Here is an 18966-nt window from a genome sequence, read left to right as displayed (position 1 = left end):
AAATGTTGCTTGAAAACTACTATATGTTGATTGCAACTAAACACCACATTGAACCAAACAAGTATATAACAATGAATAAAACACAATCCACACTCAAAAAGTTGAAATGTACTTGTTTTTTCCTGTTTATTGTTGTTTTTCTTGATTTTACTTTTACAGAAAGTGATTTACTTGTATAGAAAGTGAATCCTAGGATTCCTAGACCCTAATTAGACTGTCTCAAATAATAATATCATACCAAGTAATAATTTAAGTACCAAATATCAAGAATTTCCATTCATTTTTTTTATTTTTATGTGTTCCTATCTCAAAACTATACAAGATTTGCAACTTACCAGTGATAATGTTAAATAACTTTGACTCAATTTAGAGCTGTTAATTTCTAGAGGACTCACCTGAATCTTTGATCAATTTTGTCAATACCTCCTCCCATCCATCCCTTTAACACTCCTTCCCACATTCTCCATCTATAGGCTAGACCATTTTCTCACATCTGCATTTCAATTTAATGATACCTTGCCTTGAATTGCCTTCTCTACTAAGGCCCAAAGTATATTTTCTTTGACTCCTACTTAGAAGGCACATTAAAAGATAAGCTTCAATTCGATTACAGATTCAAAATTATCCAAAGAGGGATTTCATTTAATTACATTTTTTTGAGTGTAAAAAAATGGTTTCTCTAGCAAGATGAAATGAAAGAAAGGCTCCAAGCAAAGTTACACATAATAGTGTTAGAAAGGTTTTATCATGTAAGTGATAATTAAGTCATCTCTACTTGTACTATCACAGAATAACATCCAAAAGGATTGCATATGCAAAATACAACAATGAAAACAATTATAAAATTTGAATGCATTATTTACATACAGAAAAATAAACAAGATAAAGGCATGCTGGTATTAATCAGCTATTATTTTTAGCCAGGCGTGGTGGCTCACCCCTGTAATCCCAACACTTTGGGAGGCTGAGGTGAGTGGATCACCTGAGGTCACGAGTTTGAGACCAGCCTGGCCAACATAGAGAAACCCCATCTCTACTAAAAATACAAAAATTAGCCAGGCATGGTGGCGCTTGCTTGTAATCCCAGCTACTCGGGAAGCTGGAGCAGGAGAATCGCTTGAACCCGGGAGGCGGAGGTTGCAGTGAGCTGAGATTGCCCTGCTGCACTCCAGCTTGGGTGACAAAGCAAGACTCTGTTTTTACAAAAAATGCTATTATTTTTATGTTAATATCATAACACTTTAAAATAGCTGAAGAAAGCAGGAAAGTTTTTCTCCGAAATTTTGACTAACCAAGAGTATGATTATACAGAAGCCCACTGTATTTTATGCTGGTACATGGGAGATAATTAACTCTTACTCACAGTGAGAGTCAAAATACATCATTAATTTTATTATAAAAGCAAATTACATATGTATAAATGCATGTGTATCTTTAATCACAAATATGTACCTTTACATCATGGAATTGTGAGAGTTTGAAATTCTGGGTCTGAATGCACAAAGAAAAATTCTGCAAATAGACCATCTAGACTACTGCAAATAGACTCTCCTAGAAGTCCAAACAATACGCAATCATGACACAATGGTCTTAGTTTGCAGATGTGAACATGTCTTTATTAAAAGGGTTATTCCTCAAGACGGGTGCAACAACACCAATTACTCTCTATTCCTGAACCTCCATATGCACAATGAGGGGATCAGGACTTGAAACAGTGCCATAGTATAAAAGGGAAATGAGAGAGGAGAAGAAATGGGCTTTGGATTAATGAGCTGGCATACACACCACGGCCTTAATGGGCAGCGCTGACAGGGTTCAATTATAGCAGAGTGTGCAGCCTCATTACTGCCAGGGGCTGTCACTTAGGGTGCTGGTGCAGAGGAGAATCCAACTGGCTTCAGACAAAGGGAAAGGGAAACATATGAAAACAAAAGATATTTACAGAGTATCTTCAGGAGCAAAGATCCTATCCTCCCACCCCCAAAAAGATATGCGTGTGCGCATGCGCACACAGGCTCTTTGTATTTGCGTAAGGTGAAGTTTTCCTGGGCTTGGCTTGCTATTACACCTACAGGTTTTAGGCACAAACATAAATGAATTAATAACTCGTGTCAAGCCCTTTAAAAAAATAGAACCGTAAATATTACTTCTCCTAAAAAATCCACACCGAAATTTTTCCTCTTATAGTACCATTACTCTGCATTGTCGTACTAACAATTACTGTCTTTTACCACATAATTTTTAATAGCATCCAAGTAAACAGTTTAAAAGAAAGTATTTTGATCCTATGAATAGCTATATGTAAATTTCCCGGGCCATTTAAATTATCTTCATGTCCTGGTGTTTAAATGGAGGGGGAAATACGTTAAGTGGAAATTTGATAAGACCTGACTAATAAAAGTTTCAACAATGTATGGGATAAAGTCTTGCCGCAGAAAATCCACTTGTAAAATGCCTTCCATGAATTCACTTACAAAAGACAAAAGGCTACATCTCTTTCTCATAAAAAGTCCCTTTCTGTGAGCAACTGATTTAAACATTGTGACTGGCATGAACAACAAAAATAATCAGAGGTATTAATGTGAAATAATTGGACATCTACTATACAAATGTAGTCTGAGTTTTTAACACTATGTATATATATATATATGTATTATTTGCTGTGCAGTGTAATCCTATGATAGCTATTTGAAGAGCAAATCATAATGCTTGTTTTTCCTAGAAAAATATCTCCAGGTGAATATCAACGATGCCTCTTTAAATATTAACTGTATTACTTTTCAATTATATATGACCATCAGAGAAAAAAACAATTCAATCTTAGTGGAGATCATTCAGGAAATGCTTTAGTGGCTTTAAAAAAAAAAAAAAGAAAGAAACAAAGAAAGAAACAATAGAAAATTCTGATTACTCAGAAGATGGTTTCTGGCTCCCCTTCCTGAACCCATAATAAACGTGCACAGTTGAGATTGATTTAAGCCTAGGAGTACATGCCCCAAATCAAAAGGAATAATCCATAAATTTGCAGAGCACATATCACTGGGTCAAATGAAGCTAAAATAATAAGAAACATATGAGAAGAAAATATATCAAATGGAAAGATGTTTTTCCAGACCAACCGAACTATCCCTTGGGAAAGACCAATGTGCATTCACATTTTCAAAAGGATTAAAAGTGGCCATTTTTCTTAAAAATTCAAATTAATACTTTTTTATATGGCATAATTATGGTTCTGAATGGAAAACACAATGGAACCAACAAAAAAATGAACCATTCCATTCATTTTTATATTATCACATATGACCTCATTCTAACACTTATAGGTAATTAAAATACAAGCAAAATTAACTTATTTCAACAAAGCACACTTTTACTAGGGATAGTTACACTCTGGTGGTGATTTCCAATTTGAAGTGTGAACTTAAACCAAAGGTCTTCTAGTCATCCTGGTTGTTCACAGTCCAGGAGCTCCTGCTCTCATGTCCCATGCCCTGCATTTGATGGCATCACAAGGAGTGAGGATCAGGGAGGTTGAGCCATCACCTGACTGGTCACAGAAGGCTGGTATAGGTGCTGTCCTCCCAAGTCTAGCTGCAGTCTACTCACACTGCCTCCTCACTTCATCACATCTACCTCTCACCCCAGACTCACCACACTCCAGTTAACCGAATGACTTTGGCAGCCAAGGTAAAGTGTCAAGAAGTTCTAACCATGGGTACTGTAGGGGCCATGCCTACTGTAGGAAGTCCTGCCTTCCCTCTCTGAGGGTTTGCTGAAAAAAAAAAATCAACTCATAACAGCAGATTAAAAGAAAAAAGCATATAAATTTATTGATGTGCATGAGGGAAGATCACAGAGTGATTACCCCACTATGCAATGGGGTACAGGTTATACACCCTTCTTAGGGGAAAAGGGAGATGAGGAAGTCTGGATGATTTTAGGGGCATAGTAAATGATTTTTAGGGGAAGTCAATGGGCTCGAAGAACATACAAAGGCCTGGGACAAAATCTGCTGGGCCCACAGAACCTACAGTGGTTTGTGACAAGTCTATCCAGGAGTGTTTACTGACTTCAGTGTTTCCTCCTGTCATGTGAGTTCAGTTATTGAAAACTCAGGGAAGGGACCAGCAGTAATTGTTTTCTTTTTGGCAGGTCCAGTCTTTAGGCAGATAAGGAAACTTCAAAGAACAACTTCATCCTGTTTTGGGGGCCGGGGAGAACAGAAGATTGAGAGATGGGAATGGGGAATCAAAAAGACCTTGAGGCTTCTTCAGTTCAGCATGTCAATGCACCATAGTTTGAAGTATCTGTTTCCGAGCCCCAATAGCACCTAACAAGATACCCACGAACAGAGTTCTATCATTTAACACCTACTGTGTATGGAGAGGAGCCAGGGATACTTGCTTTGAAGGGTATTCTAGATGGCATTGAATAGCCCTGTGGCATAAATAAAGGCAAGTCACTTAGTCCTGTAAGTTTATAGGTAAAGAAATTAAGGCAATCTTTACATAGTTTAAGTAGCTATAAATACAGAAATAATAAAATGTATGTGCAGCATCTATGTGCAAAGACCTTGGCTATTGGAAAATGTTGGGGTTTCTTCCCCCTCCCCACCCTTTACCGTAATGTATGACTTCATTATGTCCTAAGACCCATAGCACTTTGTGGCTTATGTCCCATCTCAGATCTGCCAAGCTAAGCCACAAGAGTGTAGGATGAGGATTGCCACAGCTTAAGTGCTGGTAACCACTAAAAATATATTGTATATATACCTCTGATCTCACTGACATAATTGGCAGGGACTAAAATACATTGCAGCCCATTTCCTGCCTACAGTGCTAGTAAGTTCAAAGAAAGATCTTGTCTTTTGGGCCTTATTATAGTCCTTAAAAGCCCTATACAATTTTTATTCAAAAGATTTGTTGGTACTAAAACAAATTTTCTTCTCTTCCAAAATTTCAGATGCTATCATGACTAAAAAATTCTTTTTTCCTCCTAAGATATGGAATACAACATGCTAAGCCATAAGTACAGTTACCAATTGGGAGGAAAGGGGAAAGAAGTTGGAGAGAGGGTATATATAAAATGCTACAACCTATTAAATATGTGTATATTATATACTGTAGATTGATTTTAATCATTGTTCTATATTCTTTTGACTTTTTATGAGTGTATTTCTGTTTTTTAGAGGAAAATAAGTAAAATCAATAAAAATTAATGTTAAAATATTTAGTGTTAGTAAAAAAGTTAATTTAAATTTTAGAAATTAAAACATAATTACTGACATTTCTTCAACTGTGAGATGGTTGGGCTTCCCAGTGATTTCCAACAGAATGTGAGTCTAACTGCTCCTCAAATCTCAACTTAGCAAAATCTCATTCTTTTTACTAGTGTTTCCATCTTTAGGCCTGCCTGCATAATCTGTCACTGCCATCTGGAAAGAACACTCACATGCAATACTCACCTGACTTCAGAAATGAATACAGCTAAGCCCAACTTTATAATCATCCCATCAATACAATGCCTTTGCTCTTAGGGAAAGGTTTGATAGGTTTTGCAACCCCAGGAGACTGATTCATCTTCAGACAACAACAATCACTTCCCCAGACTTGACTCAGCTCAAGTCTTCCACCTTACCAGGCTTCCAAGTTTGTGATCTATTTCGATGTTTAATAGCTGCCAGATTCCACAGTACCCAGTGTCTGTTCCACCCATAATCATAAATGAGGTAATCTCATGCACACTTCATAAAACTCGAAGCATCAATGGTGGTTCTAACTATGGCCATCACTCAAGATACCAACCATCCATTCTCTTACCCCACCCTCCCATCATTAAAACAAACAAAAACTCATAACTTCCTTTGATCCTGATCCCTTTGATTTATTTCAGCACCCCAGGCTCATGATCCCTCACTCTTTGTACTCTGTTTTCCAATTTCAATTACTGGCTCCATTCCATTTGAGACTCTTGACCAGCATTCCTCAAATGTTAGCATGCACACCAACAACCTTAAGAGCTGACTAAACTGTAGATTCAGCAGGTCCATGGCACTGCCTCAGATTCTGCATTTCTAACAAGCTCCTAGGTGATGCCTATGCTGAAGGTCTTGCTAATTTGAATACCACATCTCTATAATGACCCTATAGTTTCCTGGACCTTAACATTCCTTGTAGACTTCACTTGTTCTTCCAGTGTAAATATTGCTCTTGCTAATGGTGAGGTGCCCAAACCACTTCCCTCACAGTTATCAATAACATCCTGGTACAAACATAAAGCTATGATTACTTAATACCAAGGCATCCATTCTCCATGGAAAAAATTATTTTAGGTCATAATTCCCCATTTAAAAAACTTATCCTAATCATTATGTATACTTGGGACATTAAAAAAATACTAATTTTCCCAGTTACTTAAATCAAAATAATGTGTGTTAGATATACAAACTAAGATATACAATCCAGATTTGATTGTCATACTATGATGCCATTTATGCCAAACACAGGTCATACATTTTTATTACTGAAATCTACAGGCATGATTAAAGTTTCCTCTAAATTTCCTAGGCCGTAGAACACCTGTTCTTCACACTACAGGAAAGAGATCCATATTACTTTACCCCACAAATGATTCTTCCTCTAATAATGGCATAGGTTGTATAATAAGATAATCTCATGTATGAGCAGACCACATTTCACCCTCACTATCCTCTGAGGACTCTTTTGCATGAACATAAAAAATCAGCTCTTTTCAAAGGATTTAAAGGAGGAGCATGCCAACCAATGTTTAACACAACAGTTAGCAGCTCCGACTGCTCTGAACCCTCTAAGCACACACATAAATAAAGCCAGATTTCATTATGGACCTGACAGCCTTGGATAGCCCTAAATGTTTTATTTTATTTCAATCCCAGACAAAAGCATAGAGGAAGAAAGGGGATACTTATGAAGTAAAAGAATGCAGCATAAAATATAGTTCTAAGAAATAAACAGAAAAATACCACTGAATCAATAAATACCTTCACTGTATTTCTTAATACTTTCTCAAAAATATATGAAAACTGTGTCCAACGTATTGCTCTTGCTCTGTATGTTTTAATTTGAGCCCCTAATTTGGGCCGTATTTTCAGCATTGGCAGTCTGATGACAAATAAACAATTCACATTTTCCAATAAGATGTTTTAAAATGGGTTCTCTTTGCCTGCGACTCTTCTACATCAAATTATGCCTCCCTCATCACATTTTTTTCATGTCTCATGACACTGGTGACTCCTTGTAGTTATAAACAGCTTATTGTAGTTTGCTTCTTGCCAGAATACTTCCACATACTCAGAACCCAGAATAGTCCCTGATTACTGGAATTTGCATTCTAAAACAATCAATTCTATGTATCCCAGATTTGCTTCCAAGAAAACCTGTAGCTCATTACACCTTAGCAGAATAATGGATACAAGTAATACAAATGTAAATAATATAAATATATATTTACCACCTCATTGGTAAGTGAAAAAAAGCTTGCAACAAACATGGGGACAATTTTGTCCTGGGCTCAAAATTCTGACACTTCATAGACATTTAACTATTTATCTTTTTTCTTTCGCACTATAGAATTTACCTTCTCTCTGGGCAACTTCTACAAAACTGGATCATTATTCCTAACACAAATTTCTCCTGCTATTATATATGATCTTCTTTAATATTCAAAAGAATGAATAACAGGTAACTGCCCTTCTTCCAACTGCTTCTCATGAACTTACATTTTGTATTTAAAATCACATTTATCTACATAAAAAATCATTTTCAATTATTATTACCTTTTACTAACATAACCTATTTTCCAAACTATTAATCATGTTCCAGATGTTTCCAGTAAAGAATATTGGAGAAGGATTACCTCATGATGACCATGTGCTAGATTCCTGTTTAAAAATCCCTATTTCCAGGTCAGTAGTCTGAGGAAGGTGGAAGTCACACCAAGGTTAATTTTACTTGAGTAGCATAAGGAGGTAGAAGTAAAACTGAGTGTAATCAGGGGATAAGAAATGTGTCTCTCAGGAATGGAATCAACTACATTAAGTCCGGGATAACTACCATTTTAAATACCAATACATGTTCAGAATTCTAATTGCAAGTAAAGAAGAGGAAAAGAAGAATCAAAACCCTAACACATAAAGTTTATACTGCCATGAAGAGAGGAGAATAAATGCAAATCTTCTAATTTTAATTCATTCCTGTGAGTTGTATAATTGTAACTTTTTAAAGAGTGCTTTTTAGCCCAAAAGGAAAATCCCACATTTCTAATCTGGAATTTTAAAACATTTTTAATCGCTGTTCTGGAAACTCTCATACTTAATATAAATAGGCCATTCATGACCGTCTCTAAATACAATGAACTCTGGTCTTTTCCTTCTAAAAATGATAGCACTGCATTCATTTTTCTAAATAAGAAATAAGGGAAAAAGAAGTTATGAAATTGGATGTAACGCAACAAAATGACAGATTAGGTGGGGCAGCACTTATATTCCCTTCATAATTTTGTTCTTGCTTTATAAATCATAAACTGGGATATAAATGCCAGCCATATATGTTCCACCTGGGATCTGAAAATACTGCTATATTCTTCTTGCTTATAATACTGCCACAATAATATAACTTCTGCAATCATAATTTATACCACTGACAGATTTGAAGTTAATGCAAGAAAAAGATTCCAGCTCTGTCTTTAGAGTTGCATTGCTTCTTTGATGCTAGCAGCAATGTGTACTTATCTTTTATTTTTCCTGTAAAACAGGTAGGTATGAATCGAACACTGTGGCTGATGACAAATTCAGTCAGGATATGCCATTTATGCATAATCATCTTTCTGGACATTATAATGTTTTAATTTTATACCAGTCTTGCATTTTCTGAAAATGGATATCATCCCTCATTTTTACTTTTTCATTTCTACACAGAAATAATATTTGCTGGAAGTTACCCATTGTATCTCTAACCTGGGAGTATATCTCCTCTTGGCTGCATTTTCCTTAAAGTTGTTGTGAGAATGAATAGATAGCAATCAATGGCATCCAGCAACTCCAAGGCCCTATTTCTGTATGGGCTCAAGCAGCAATAATCAATCCATTCTCTCCCATTTTATCATTGCCATTTTCCTATGATGCTGTAGGTAAACTGAAAAAAAAAAAAATCTATCTTGTTCTTTGTAATAGGACTAATTAGGGTATCTCATTTGCAAGAAGGATTGTGGGTATTCATTTTCGTCCTGTACCCTCTTTAATGCAAAGACATAATTTTATAAGGAAAACTCAGTTAATTAGGGTCTTATGAGATGGCTTTATTCTTTTTTTTAAAGGAACTTAGAAATAGCAACAGGAGATATAATTAGGAACCATTTCTGCTTTGATTAACTTAGAAACTTAGATCAACTTTGATCGACTTAGAACTTTAGAAATTATCTAGTCCATTCCCTCAATTTATGGATGGAGAAACAAAGCCCCAGACAGGAAATGTGACTCACCCAAAGTCACAGAGGGAGATTCAAGCCAGAGGTAGAACTAAGTCTCTTTATCCGCTAGGCATTTTAGCTGGATAAAAATGGATTTCATTAAACTATCCTTAACAGCCTACCCCGGCCCTCCTTTCCTGTACCTGTCTCCCAAGCTTGAGCCATTTATAATCCCCAGAACATCCCTAAAGAAGATTGCAGGGTGTGAGGTTCAGCCTGAAGAACTCACAAAAGCAAAAGCATGCAGGTGAGCCGGTTGTAGGTTGGAGAGCCCTCCATGAAAATAGAGCCTGCCCTGGAATTTCAATCTGTTTTGTGTCGAATCCCAAACTACATAGAAGATCCAAGAACTGTACCTCCAGAGGAGTTTTCTGCACCCCCCAGATGTTTCCAGAATCCAATGCCAATCTTCCAGAAAAACTTAAATGGAGCAGAGTATTTCAAAAATCTTTCCTAAGAAAAAATGAATCCAGAGGCTTTCTGGGTCACTCCTCTACATGGAAGTACCATTTCTAAAGCTGGAGGAAGTCTGCTTCTCAGTAGTAGCCCCCACCCCACTAACTCTCTCTGCAGCTGACCCCATGTGGAGATATGTCCAGAGCAAAGGGCTCTCACATGTCATTTGTATTCCAAACCTGTGGGCCTCTCGTATTGTGTACTGGCTCCATTCTAATCACTATGCTTTTGCAAACAGAGAAAAACTATAATTTGGAAATGGCTGCTGTTGCACTCGGGTGTCTGTTTCCTCTTTTTCTTCTTAACAGCCCCAGCACATAGCAAGTGTATAGAAATTATAATCACAAGCAGAATGTAACACACACAAAAAATTCTTCAACAATCCTTTATTAAGTGCCTACAATAAAGTGCCTCACATATTGTAGGCACTTAATAAAGGATTGTTGGAGAATTTTTTGGGTGTAACATTCTATTTGTGATTATAGTCCCCATACACTGTTTTGACGGCATCTGTACTGGCTCTGTTGACATGTTCCTAAAGATGATCCCATACAAACTCTCAAAATATTGAAAGGAATATTGATCCCCTGAACTCCTGAGAAGCTGAGAATGCAGCACTGTTGGCTATTTAAAAAGAATAGAAGGACTCTTCTCTCTGTACCACATTACAGTGAGCATTGTGTAACAGAAACAACCACAGAGAGTATAAGAGTTACTTTAGACAAAGACGTGGACATATGACCTCCTCCTCTTTCATGCTTGAGTATATTCTATGTCCATAGATTGATGACTTACTAATACCTGAATTGGATTCAAAAGTGTATTTATCATTTAATATATTTTCATATAATTGATCAAATATCTTAGAATTTGGTTTTATTTTCTGGATGTTATATAAACAAGTATTCTCAAGAATGTCATATTAAGAATATTAAACTTGAAAGGGATTGAGCCAACACTCTCGTTTTTACAGATTATAAATAAATCTACATAGCTTTCTTCTTATATGAAAGGCTTCCAATGTTTTCCTACAGCCTCTCTAATCTTTTCCCAAATCTTCCTCTTTATAGTGTCCTCATCACTCCCACATAAAATGTTTTTCTAGCTGTCTTTTCTCTTATAAAGTTTTTTCAATCTTCACAATAAATTAACTGTCTCCCACAACCAGAATTATACCACTATCCTCTCCAAAGCCTCTCACATAAATTACACACACAATTTTGAAACTTAGTTCCATCTTCCAGTAGCTTGCATCAATGCACAACTTGTCACTTTGCTTAACTTCCTTATTCTCTCACAGACCATTTCATATGGAAAAACCACATCAACAAGAAAATTAGTTTCCTCAGAAGAGAGGGTTATATCCAACAGGAGACAACGCCAAAGAACTGCAAAGATGATAAGAAGGTAGGGAAACCTCTATTTTGAAACTCTTGAAATGTATGTTGGTCATCACTATATAGAGAAAGTAGTTGTCTGGGACACATGAGTTAAGAGGTAAATGAAGACTCATGTCTAAAACTATCTTTCCCATCTGCTGAAAATTCGTTTCACTTCAGTACAGTCCATGAGACTCATTCCTTTGAGTTACAAAGTTTTGTCTTAACAAAACACAAATGCAAAGAGAAGCAATGTAGTAAATCCTAGGAATTATTTCCAATTTTAAATAAATTAGATTGATCACCTGTTTCTCCTAATAATGAGCTAAGATCCCATACATGTGGGACTCATGAGATAAGGACTAAAAGAAAAATGTGCATACAGAGGATAAATGATAAATAAATTTGAAGTTTTAGAAAGGGAGCATCACAAGACATGAGGAAGTAAAGAAAAAGTGAAGGTGGTATTTGTCTTAAATATCACTTGCCTCACAATTTTGACAACATCTAATCATTCCCTCAACAAGCTAAAGAAGAGCAAGAATACTTACTACTTTGACTTTCTGAGGATTGTTATGGCCCTTGAGAATTTTAGAATCATTGAGTACTTTTAAAATAGCTTTTATTCTAGATCTTTGCACTGACAGAGAGCACTTTAGTAATTACTTCAACCTGAGCAAATGGTTGTTCTCAGTACAAGAGGGAAAAGGAGGGAGCCGAGAGAATGAATGGCAGTAAGAAAGAATAAATGAGAAAAGTCCACTGTTACCTGAAAGGGGGCAGTATCCATCAGAGAAACAAAAGACTAAGGTTTACGCCAGTGGTTCTCAACCAGAAGTAATTGTGTCCCCCAGGGAACATTTGGCAAATCTGGAGATGTTTTTGGTTGCTGGGAGTAGGAGAATGCTTCTGATGTCTCGTGGATGGGACCAGTGATACTGCTAAACATCCTACAGTACATAGGACAGCCTCCCAGAATAAAGCATTATCCAGCCCAGAATGTCAGCAGTGCTGAGGTTGGGAAACTCTGGCCTAGACTTACATAAAAGATGACAAATAGTTGTAGGAGCGATTAAGCAACGATCTCTTCCCTGGTACAGAAAAGGTTTTCCAGAGAGCTCATTTTGCTTATTCTAATCTGCATAGCCCAGAATCAGGCCTATATTTTCTCCAAAAATTTGGTAAGACAAATGTTGATACTAGTGTGGAAGTGCTTAAATGATATCCAAGACTTCAGCCCAAACTAACCAAAGAATATGAGAAAAGACAGTGTATTAGCACCCAAATGTGCAAAGAGATGTGATAAGATAGAGTTCTGGGTTAGAGAGGTAATAAAATCTTAAGAACTGCATCCTGATTTAGAGATGAAACAAAAGCAGATATTACAACCTTAGGATGATCAGCCCATCCTATGAAAAGTGTGGAGGTCCAAGTGAATCCTGAGAATGGTAATAGCAGCCAGCATTGATTTAAAATGTCCTATGTGCTAAATACTGCGTGATATGGTTTGGCTGTGTCCGCACCCAAATCTCACCTTGAATTGTAATAATCTCCATATGTCAAGGGCAGAGCCAGGTGGAGATAATTAAATCATGGGGGCAGTTTCCCCCATACTTTTCTCATGGTAGTGAATAAATCTTACAAGATCTTGTAAGATGTAAGATGTCCATGTAAGATGTGTCTTTGGGCTGGGTGCAGTGGCTCACACCTGTAATCCCAGCACTTTGGGAGGCTAAGACAGGTGGATAACCTGAAGTCAGGAGTTCAAGACCAGCCTGGCCAACATGGTGAAACCCCATCTCTACTAAAAATACAAAAATTAGCCGGTGTGATGGCAGGCTCCTATCATCCCAGCTACTCAGGAGGCTGAGGCAGAATTGTTTGAACCTGGGAGGTGGCGGTTGCAGTGAGCCAAGATCATGCCACTGCACTCCAGCCTGGGCAACAGAGCAAGACTCCGTCTCAAAAATAAAAGAAAAAAAAGATGTTCCTTTTCTCTTCCTTCATCTTCCACCATAATTGTGAAGCCTCCCCAGCTATGTGGAATGGTGAGTCTATTAAACCTCTTTCCTTTATAAATTATGCAATCTCAGATATTTGGATATGTCCTTTATGTCCTTTTTTTTCTTTTTCTTTTTTTGAGACCGAGTCTCACTGGGTGACTCAGGCTGAACTGCAGTGGTGTGATCTCAGCTCAATGCAACCTCCGCCTCCCAGGTTCAAGTGATTCTCCCGCCTCAGCCTCCTGGGTAGCTGGGATTACAGGTGTATGCTACCACGCCCAGTTAATTTTTTTTTTTTTTGTATTTTTAATAGAGATGGGGTTTCACCATGTTGACCAGGCTTGTCTCGAACTCCTGCTTCAGGTGATCTACCCACCTCAGCCTCCCAAAGTGCTGGGATTACAGGCATGAGCCACCATGCCTGGCCTCAGGTATGTCTATTAGCAGCATGAGATCAGATGAATATACTACGGTAAGTTCTTTACATGCAGAATATCATGTGGTCATTGTAAACTATCAGTTTTACAGTTAAGAAAACTGAGACTCAAAAGGGTAAGGTAATAATTAGAGCCAAATTCAGGAGCCAAGCCAAGTTACATCTGACTCCAAAGTCTTGCTTTAAGCACCTTCCCATGCTAACCTAATGATTCAGTGTATTGATCCAAGAGAAATAAAGTCAACATTATTTTATTTATCCCTCAATTACGTGAGTGCCTTCTAAGAGCTGAGGGCACAACAATGAAGAAAACAGGCAGGTGCCTTGGTCACAGAGAACTAACAAACCGGTGGGGATAGAGAATCTCCAGAATGAGAATCCATCAGACTCCAATCAGTCCCTAAATTCCACAAAGGCAGAAATAGGAGCTTTTTATTTATTCAAGTAATTTTGTTTCTTTCACTAAGCCCAAAACATAGTTTAATCATGTGCTGAGTCCTCTGCTCTGTTAAAAGCCAAAATTAAACCTCTCTCTCCCTTTCAGACAGAGAGCTCTCTCCCCACTAAAAATCATTTGACGGAAAATTCCAAACAAAGATTCTGCATAAGAATTTGCCATTCTCTATCCATTCAGCTCTAGAGAAAATAGGTTTAGGACATCCTTGACAGGAAATTTGAAGTTCTCATATCCCAGACCTCCAATCACACAGAGAATGATGAGAGGTATCAAAATGCTACAAAATAATAAAGAGGCTGCAGAAACAGTTGTCTGATGAAACAGCTGCCACCTGTACATGAACTGTCTCATACATTATGAAGAACATAGGAGAGCAAGAAAATCCCCTGGATTAGGACATAAAAGATAGTATTTCAAAAGTCACAGCTTTATCACTTAGTGGTTGTGACCCTGGGCAAGTCAATTAACCCTCTCAGAATCTCCATTTCTTCACCTATTAAATGAGAATAATAGCTTTCCTGCCTACCCCACAGAATCGCAATAACTAAAATAATACACCTGGAAAGGCATTGTAAACTGTCAAGATTACCCATTAAGCTTGGTATCCAATTTCACCCATGTCTAGCTGTTAGAGGTCAAACCTTTGGTTAGAAATATAGGTACTTAGAAGACAGCACATCACAACATCCCCATCCATGTCATAATGCCCCGTTACCAAGTGCCACCAGTAGAAGCACAGACACTGAAGGGGCAAAACCTGATCCCTGTGATCCCTCCAAGAGATGAAGTTGGAGCTTCCTCTTTTTCAATTTCCATCTTTATTATTTTGCTTCTTAGCCACAGAACCAAGTAGCTAACTTATTTATTTACAGTCACACATTTCATTTTTGAGCACATTTCTTATAGTTATATTGCACAAATGCCCCCCATCCTCACCCTAGCAGGTGTAGTGTGACTTTATACTCTGATATATGGAACGACTCTAAACCTGTAACAGGGAAGGGGCCAGGCTTCTCCCCTCTCTATCTATGCTGCTACTACCAGTGAGAGTTTAGCTAACAAAAATGCCTAGCAAAAGTACGAATAGAAAATTTAGCTGATAGCAATTCAAGTACTATTGAAATATTCTGAGTGAATGCTCAATCATATAATGTGATGAATGCTACATTTATGTAGCTAAGTATAGAGACTTAGTTGCTAGTAGATCTGATTTGAAAATTATCCAAACATCATGGCCCTTCACGTTGATGTGTGCCCACTTCCCAATACAAGCTCAAGATGCCTATAATGTCTGAAGCACACTATTTCAATTATGCTGCAATAGGTAAAAGCCTGGGTTATCTGGATCAAGCTATGCATGTTCTTACGGATGCTCCAGCATGTGACCTTGAACAGGTATCTACGCGACCTTCAGCCAGTCACTTAACTTCCTGAGTCTCAGCTGCCTCATGTAAAATGAAGATAATAGTACCTACTTCTTAAGGCCATTATGAGGAAGAAATGAGATAATCCAGGTAAAGTATGTAACTCTGTACCTGACATTATGCTACATGTTCAGGAAATACTAACAGCTATCTATTACAATCGACTGATCATCAGCTAAGATATGCAAGGTCTTATTTTTCTAAACAGGTAAGTGGATCTAAAAGAACTTCTAACTCCTCTCAGGTCTACTTAATTTTACTTGCTAAACAAAGATTCAAACAGGGAGTACTGAAGGATAAATTTTCAAAAAGTATGACCTCTTCCATCTAAACGTGCCAGCAGCAACATGAAGTATGAGTGACCAATTTGCTTAGAAACCATTCAACAGCAAAGTAACCACTCAAGGTAAATCAGGATTTGGGTAGCAGTTGTAGCACAGAACTGAATTCTTAGCAGCCCCCACATTAATGCAGAAAATACCTGACAGGAAATGATGAAAAAGCAAAGGAAGACCAGGCTACAGACAACAGAGGGCAACTCTCAGGAGTAACAAGGGTCAGAAACAGATATTAGGATCATGGTAAAAATTCCCATTGCAGTACATGTGAGAATGCTGAAGAGAAGAGAACGGTCTTCTCTTCTCTTCAGGAAAAGCAGTATGGTCATGAAAGATCAAAAGGACTTGCTAGAGGTTTAAAGCAATCCTAAAAACTATTTTATTTATTTTATTTTATTTTATTTTATTTTATTTTATTTTATTTTATTTTATTTTATTTTATTTTATATTATTTTATTTTATTTTATTTTATTATTTTTGAGACAGAGTCTCACTCTGTCGCCCAGGCTGGAGTGCAGTGGTGCGATCTCAGCTTACTGCAACCTTTGTCTCCCGGATTCAAGCGATTCTCCTGCCTCAGTATCAAGAGTAGCTGGGACTACAGGCATGTGCCACCAGGCCTGGCTAATTTTTTTCATATGTTTAGTAGAGACGGGGTTTCACCTTATTAGCCAGGATGGTCTCAATCTCCCGACCTCATGATCTGCCCGCCTCGGCTTCCCAAAGTGCTGGGATTACAGGTGTGAGCCACCGTGCCCAGCCCTGATGTCCTTTTTAAATGACAAAGTATTAAAAAGATGTTGGAGATGTGAATGGAAGCCCTAGCCTGGAACTCCACCCTAACTCACTTCCTGCCACTCCCTATCTCCCTTGTTACCTTGCAACAATACAAGATGCAGACACTTCTGCTATAGCAGTTGCTTTGAAAACATGAATTTGTTCCAATGCAATTGTTACATTAGGCAACAATTGAAGCATAACCAAATTTCGCACTTGCTCATATGCAATTTCATCTTTGGAAAACACCTAGGTGAACAAAGAAAACTGTGCCTGCAGAAGCAAACCATGTAGGAATATGAAAAAAAAAAAAAAAAAAAGCACACACACATGTGCAAAACTGTGCTATCATGTTTATTATGTTTTCTCATGTCAATGACCAACTTTCTAATGTTTTTGCCCTTGACTCCCTTTTCCCCATATGCCACATGGGTTTTTTTTAACCTTGTACAATTTTGCAATAGTGATTTTTAGGAACATTATAGCAAAACTAACCACATCCTGTAGTGACCCATCTGTACTCTTTTATCTTACCACATGATACTGTTCCCATTGGCTAACATTCCAGCAGGCCTTAGGCTCATCTCACTCCTCTCGTTCCAGCTCTCCCTTAAGACTTAACTCCTTCCAAGTGGCTTTCCTGACTGGCTAGCCTGACCACCTTTGAGACCTTGCTGTGAGCTCTCACAGCATACTCCATGCATGCCTCCAACATTACACTTACTACCATGCACAGAAATGATACCTTAACAGATATGTCCACCACTGTTTTGAATCTCAAAAGCAGGGACCCATCTTATATTTTTGTGCATTTTCATCATGGCACAGAATAATATTTAATAAATGTTGAGGTAAACAAAACAGCAAAACAGAACACTGTCAACTTTAACCCATTTAGTAGAATAACAACTCAGCAACAATATCTAACAATATACTCTATAGGAAGGAAAGAAAAACTGGAGAAACCAAGGATCATTCAAACATAAGCTGAGTGTCTTCAAAGCTGAGAGGTGCAAAAGAGGTGGAAAATTTAGGGGACTCAATAGAAATTAAGTCCATTATTAAAGAAGACACAGAAGAATATATTTAAATTTAGGTAAAAAGTATCTAAAAACATTGGGAAGATGCATTTATGAATACTGAATTTCATATATGCATAAAGAATGAGATTGTACTGCAACTACGGTGACCCCTTGCCGAAAATTTCAGAATAACTGCTATGTAATGTTGTCTCCCTACTAAGCATCCTTTGATCTTTTAAGTGAGATTTACCATATATGTTGTGGCAAGGGCATTACAGGGATGGCTTGTTAACTCTGACATGAGATGTATTCAAGTGAATCAAAGGACATATTTCCTGGGCTTTCCTGAATGGACACTAAAATGAGACATAATAAAAAGTTCCTTTTAGTTTGAACAGTTTATACAATGAGACAGACTGACGCAAAAAGCTTTATCATAGATTCACAACCCACATATATAACAATGCACTCAGAAAAGAAGCTAACCTAGTGACTTTAAAGAATTATTATAGAAGTAAAAATCAGCCAAATTTCACCAAATGAAAATTAGCCTTATATTGCTCTTAAAGCTGCTCACTGTATGTAATGCAACAATTGCCCTTGGACCTAAGATTCACTTTCTGCTCATACGTGAATGCAAGGATAAGACCGTGTAGAAACCAAATTAAACTTGCTTAAAGCCTTTAGTTTTATTATCAAGAAAAATTATCCTCTCCAATTGATAAGACATGAAACACAGAAAAAAGAAAAGGGCAGAAAGCCTCACAAAGCAATGTTTATAAACAAAGGCAGAGCCTCAATTCACAAAATGGTAATTTCGAGCAAAAAGAAAAAGGCACTCCAAAGAAATAAAGTGCACACAAACCAAAACTCTGCTAAGCAAGTTTTATTTGTAAAACATGTTTAAGATGAGACTTTTTCAAAAAACTGCCACAGACAACCACTGGAGTACAAAATCTCAAAGGTGATCTTAACTGACTTACGTAATTATTCACTGTGATAAATGAATGTGAGATTTCAGAGTGGGGAGAAATGCTCCCCTGGAAATGAAGCAGGGACAGTGTAGATGAAAGTCTGGAGGAAAATGGGCAAAAATTGCAATCAGAATCACATTTTTCTCAATTTTATATATACAATGTCTCCAACCAAACAATTCTCAATAGCTATGCA

The 18966-nt window shown here is 37.4% G+C and overlaps 1 long non-coding RNA gene across 1 annotated transcript; it reads right to left on the bottom strand.

Moving 5' to 3' along the window:
• Positions 1–3804: 3804 nt before the first annotated feature.
• Positions 3805–16415, bottom strand: LOC124902972 (uncharacterized). The gene is made up of 2 exons (XR_007063383.1): positions 14825–16415; positions 3805–9170 (listed from the first exon to the last, which is right to left on the bottom strand). It is a non-coding gene; the product is annotated as an uncharacterized LOC124902972 (long non-coding RNA).
• Between the last annotated feature and the right edge of the window lie 2551 nt (positions 16416–18966).

This window comes from Homo sapiens, chromosome 12, assembly GCF_000001405.40.
Source record: "Homo sapiens chromosome 12, GRCh38.p14 Primary Assembly".
Lineage (NCBI taxonomy): Eukaryota > Metazoa > Chordata > Mammalia > Primates > Hominidae > Homo > Homo sapiens.
Note: the sequence above shows the minus strand (reverse complement) of the source record. Positions and strands in the feature narration are given on the sequence as shown.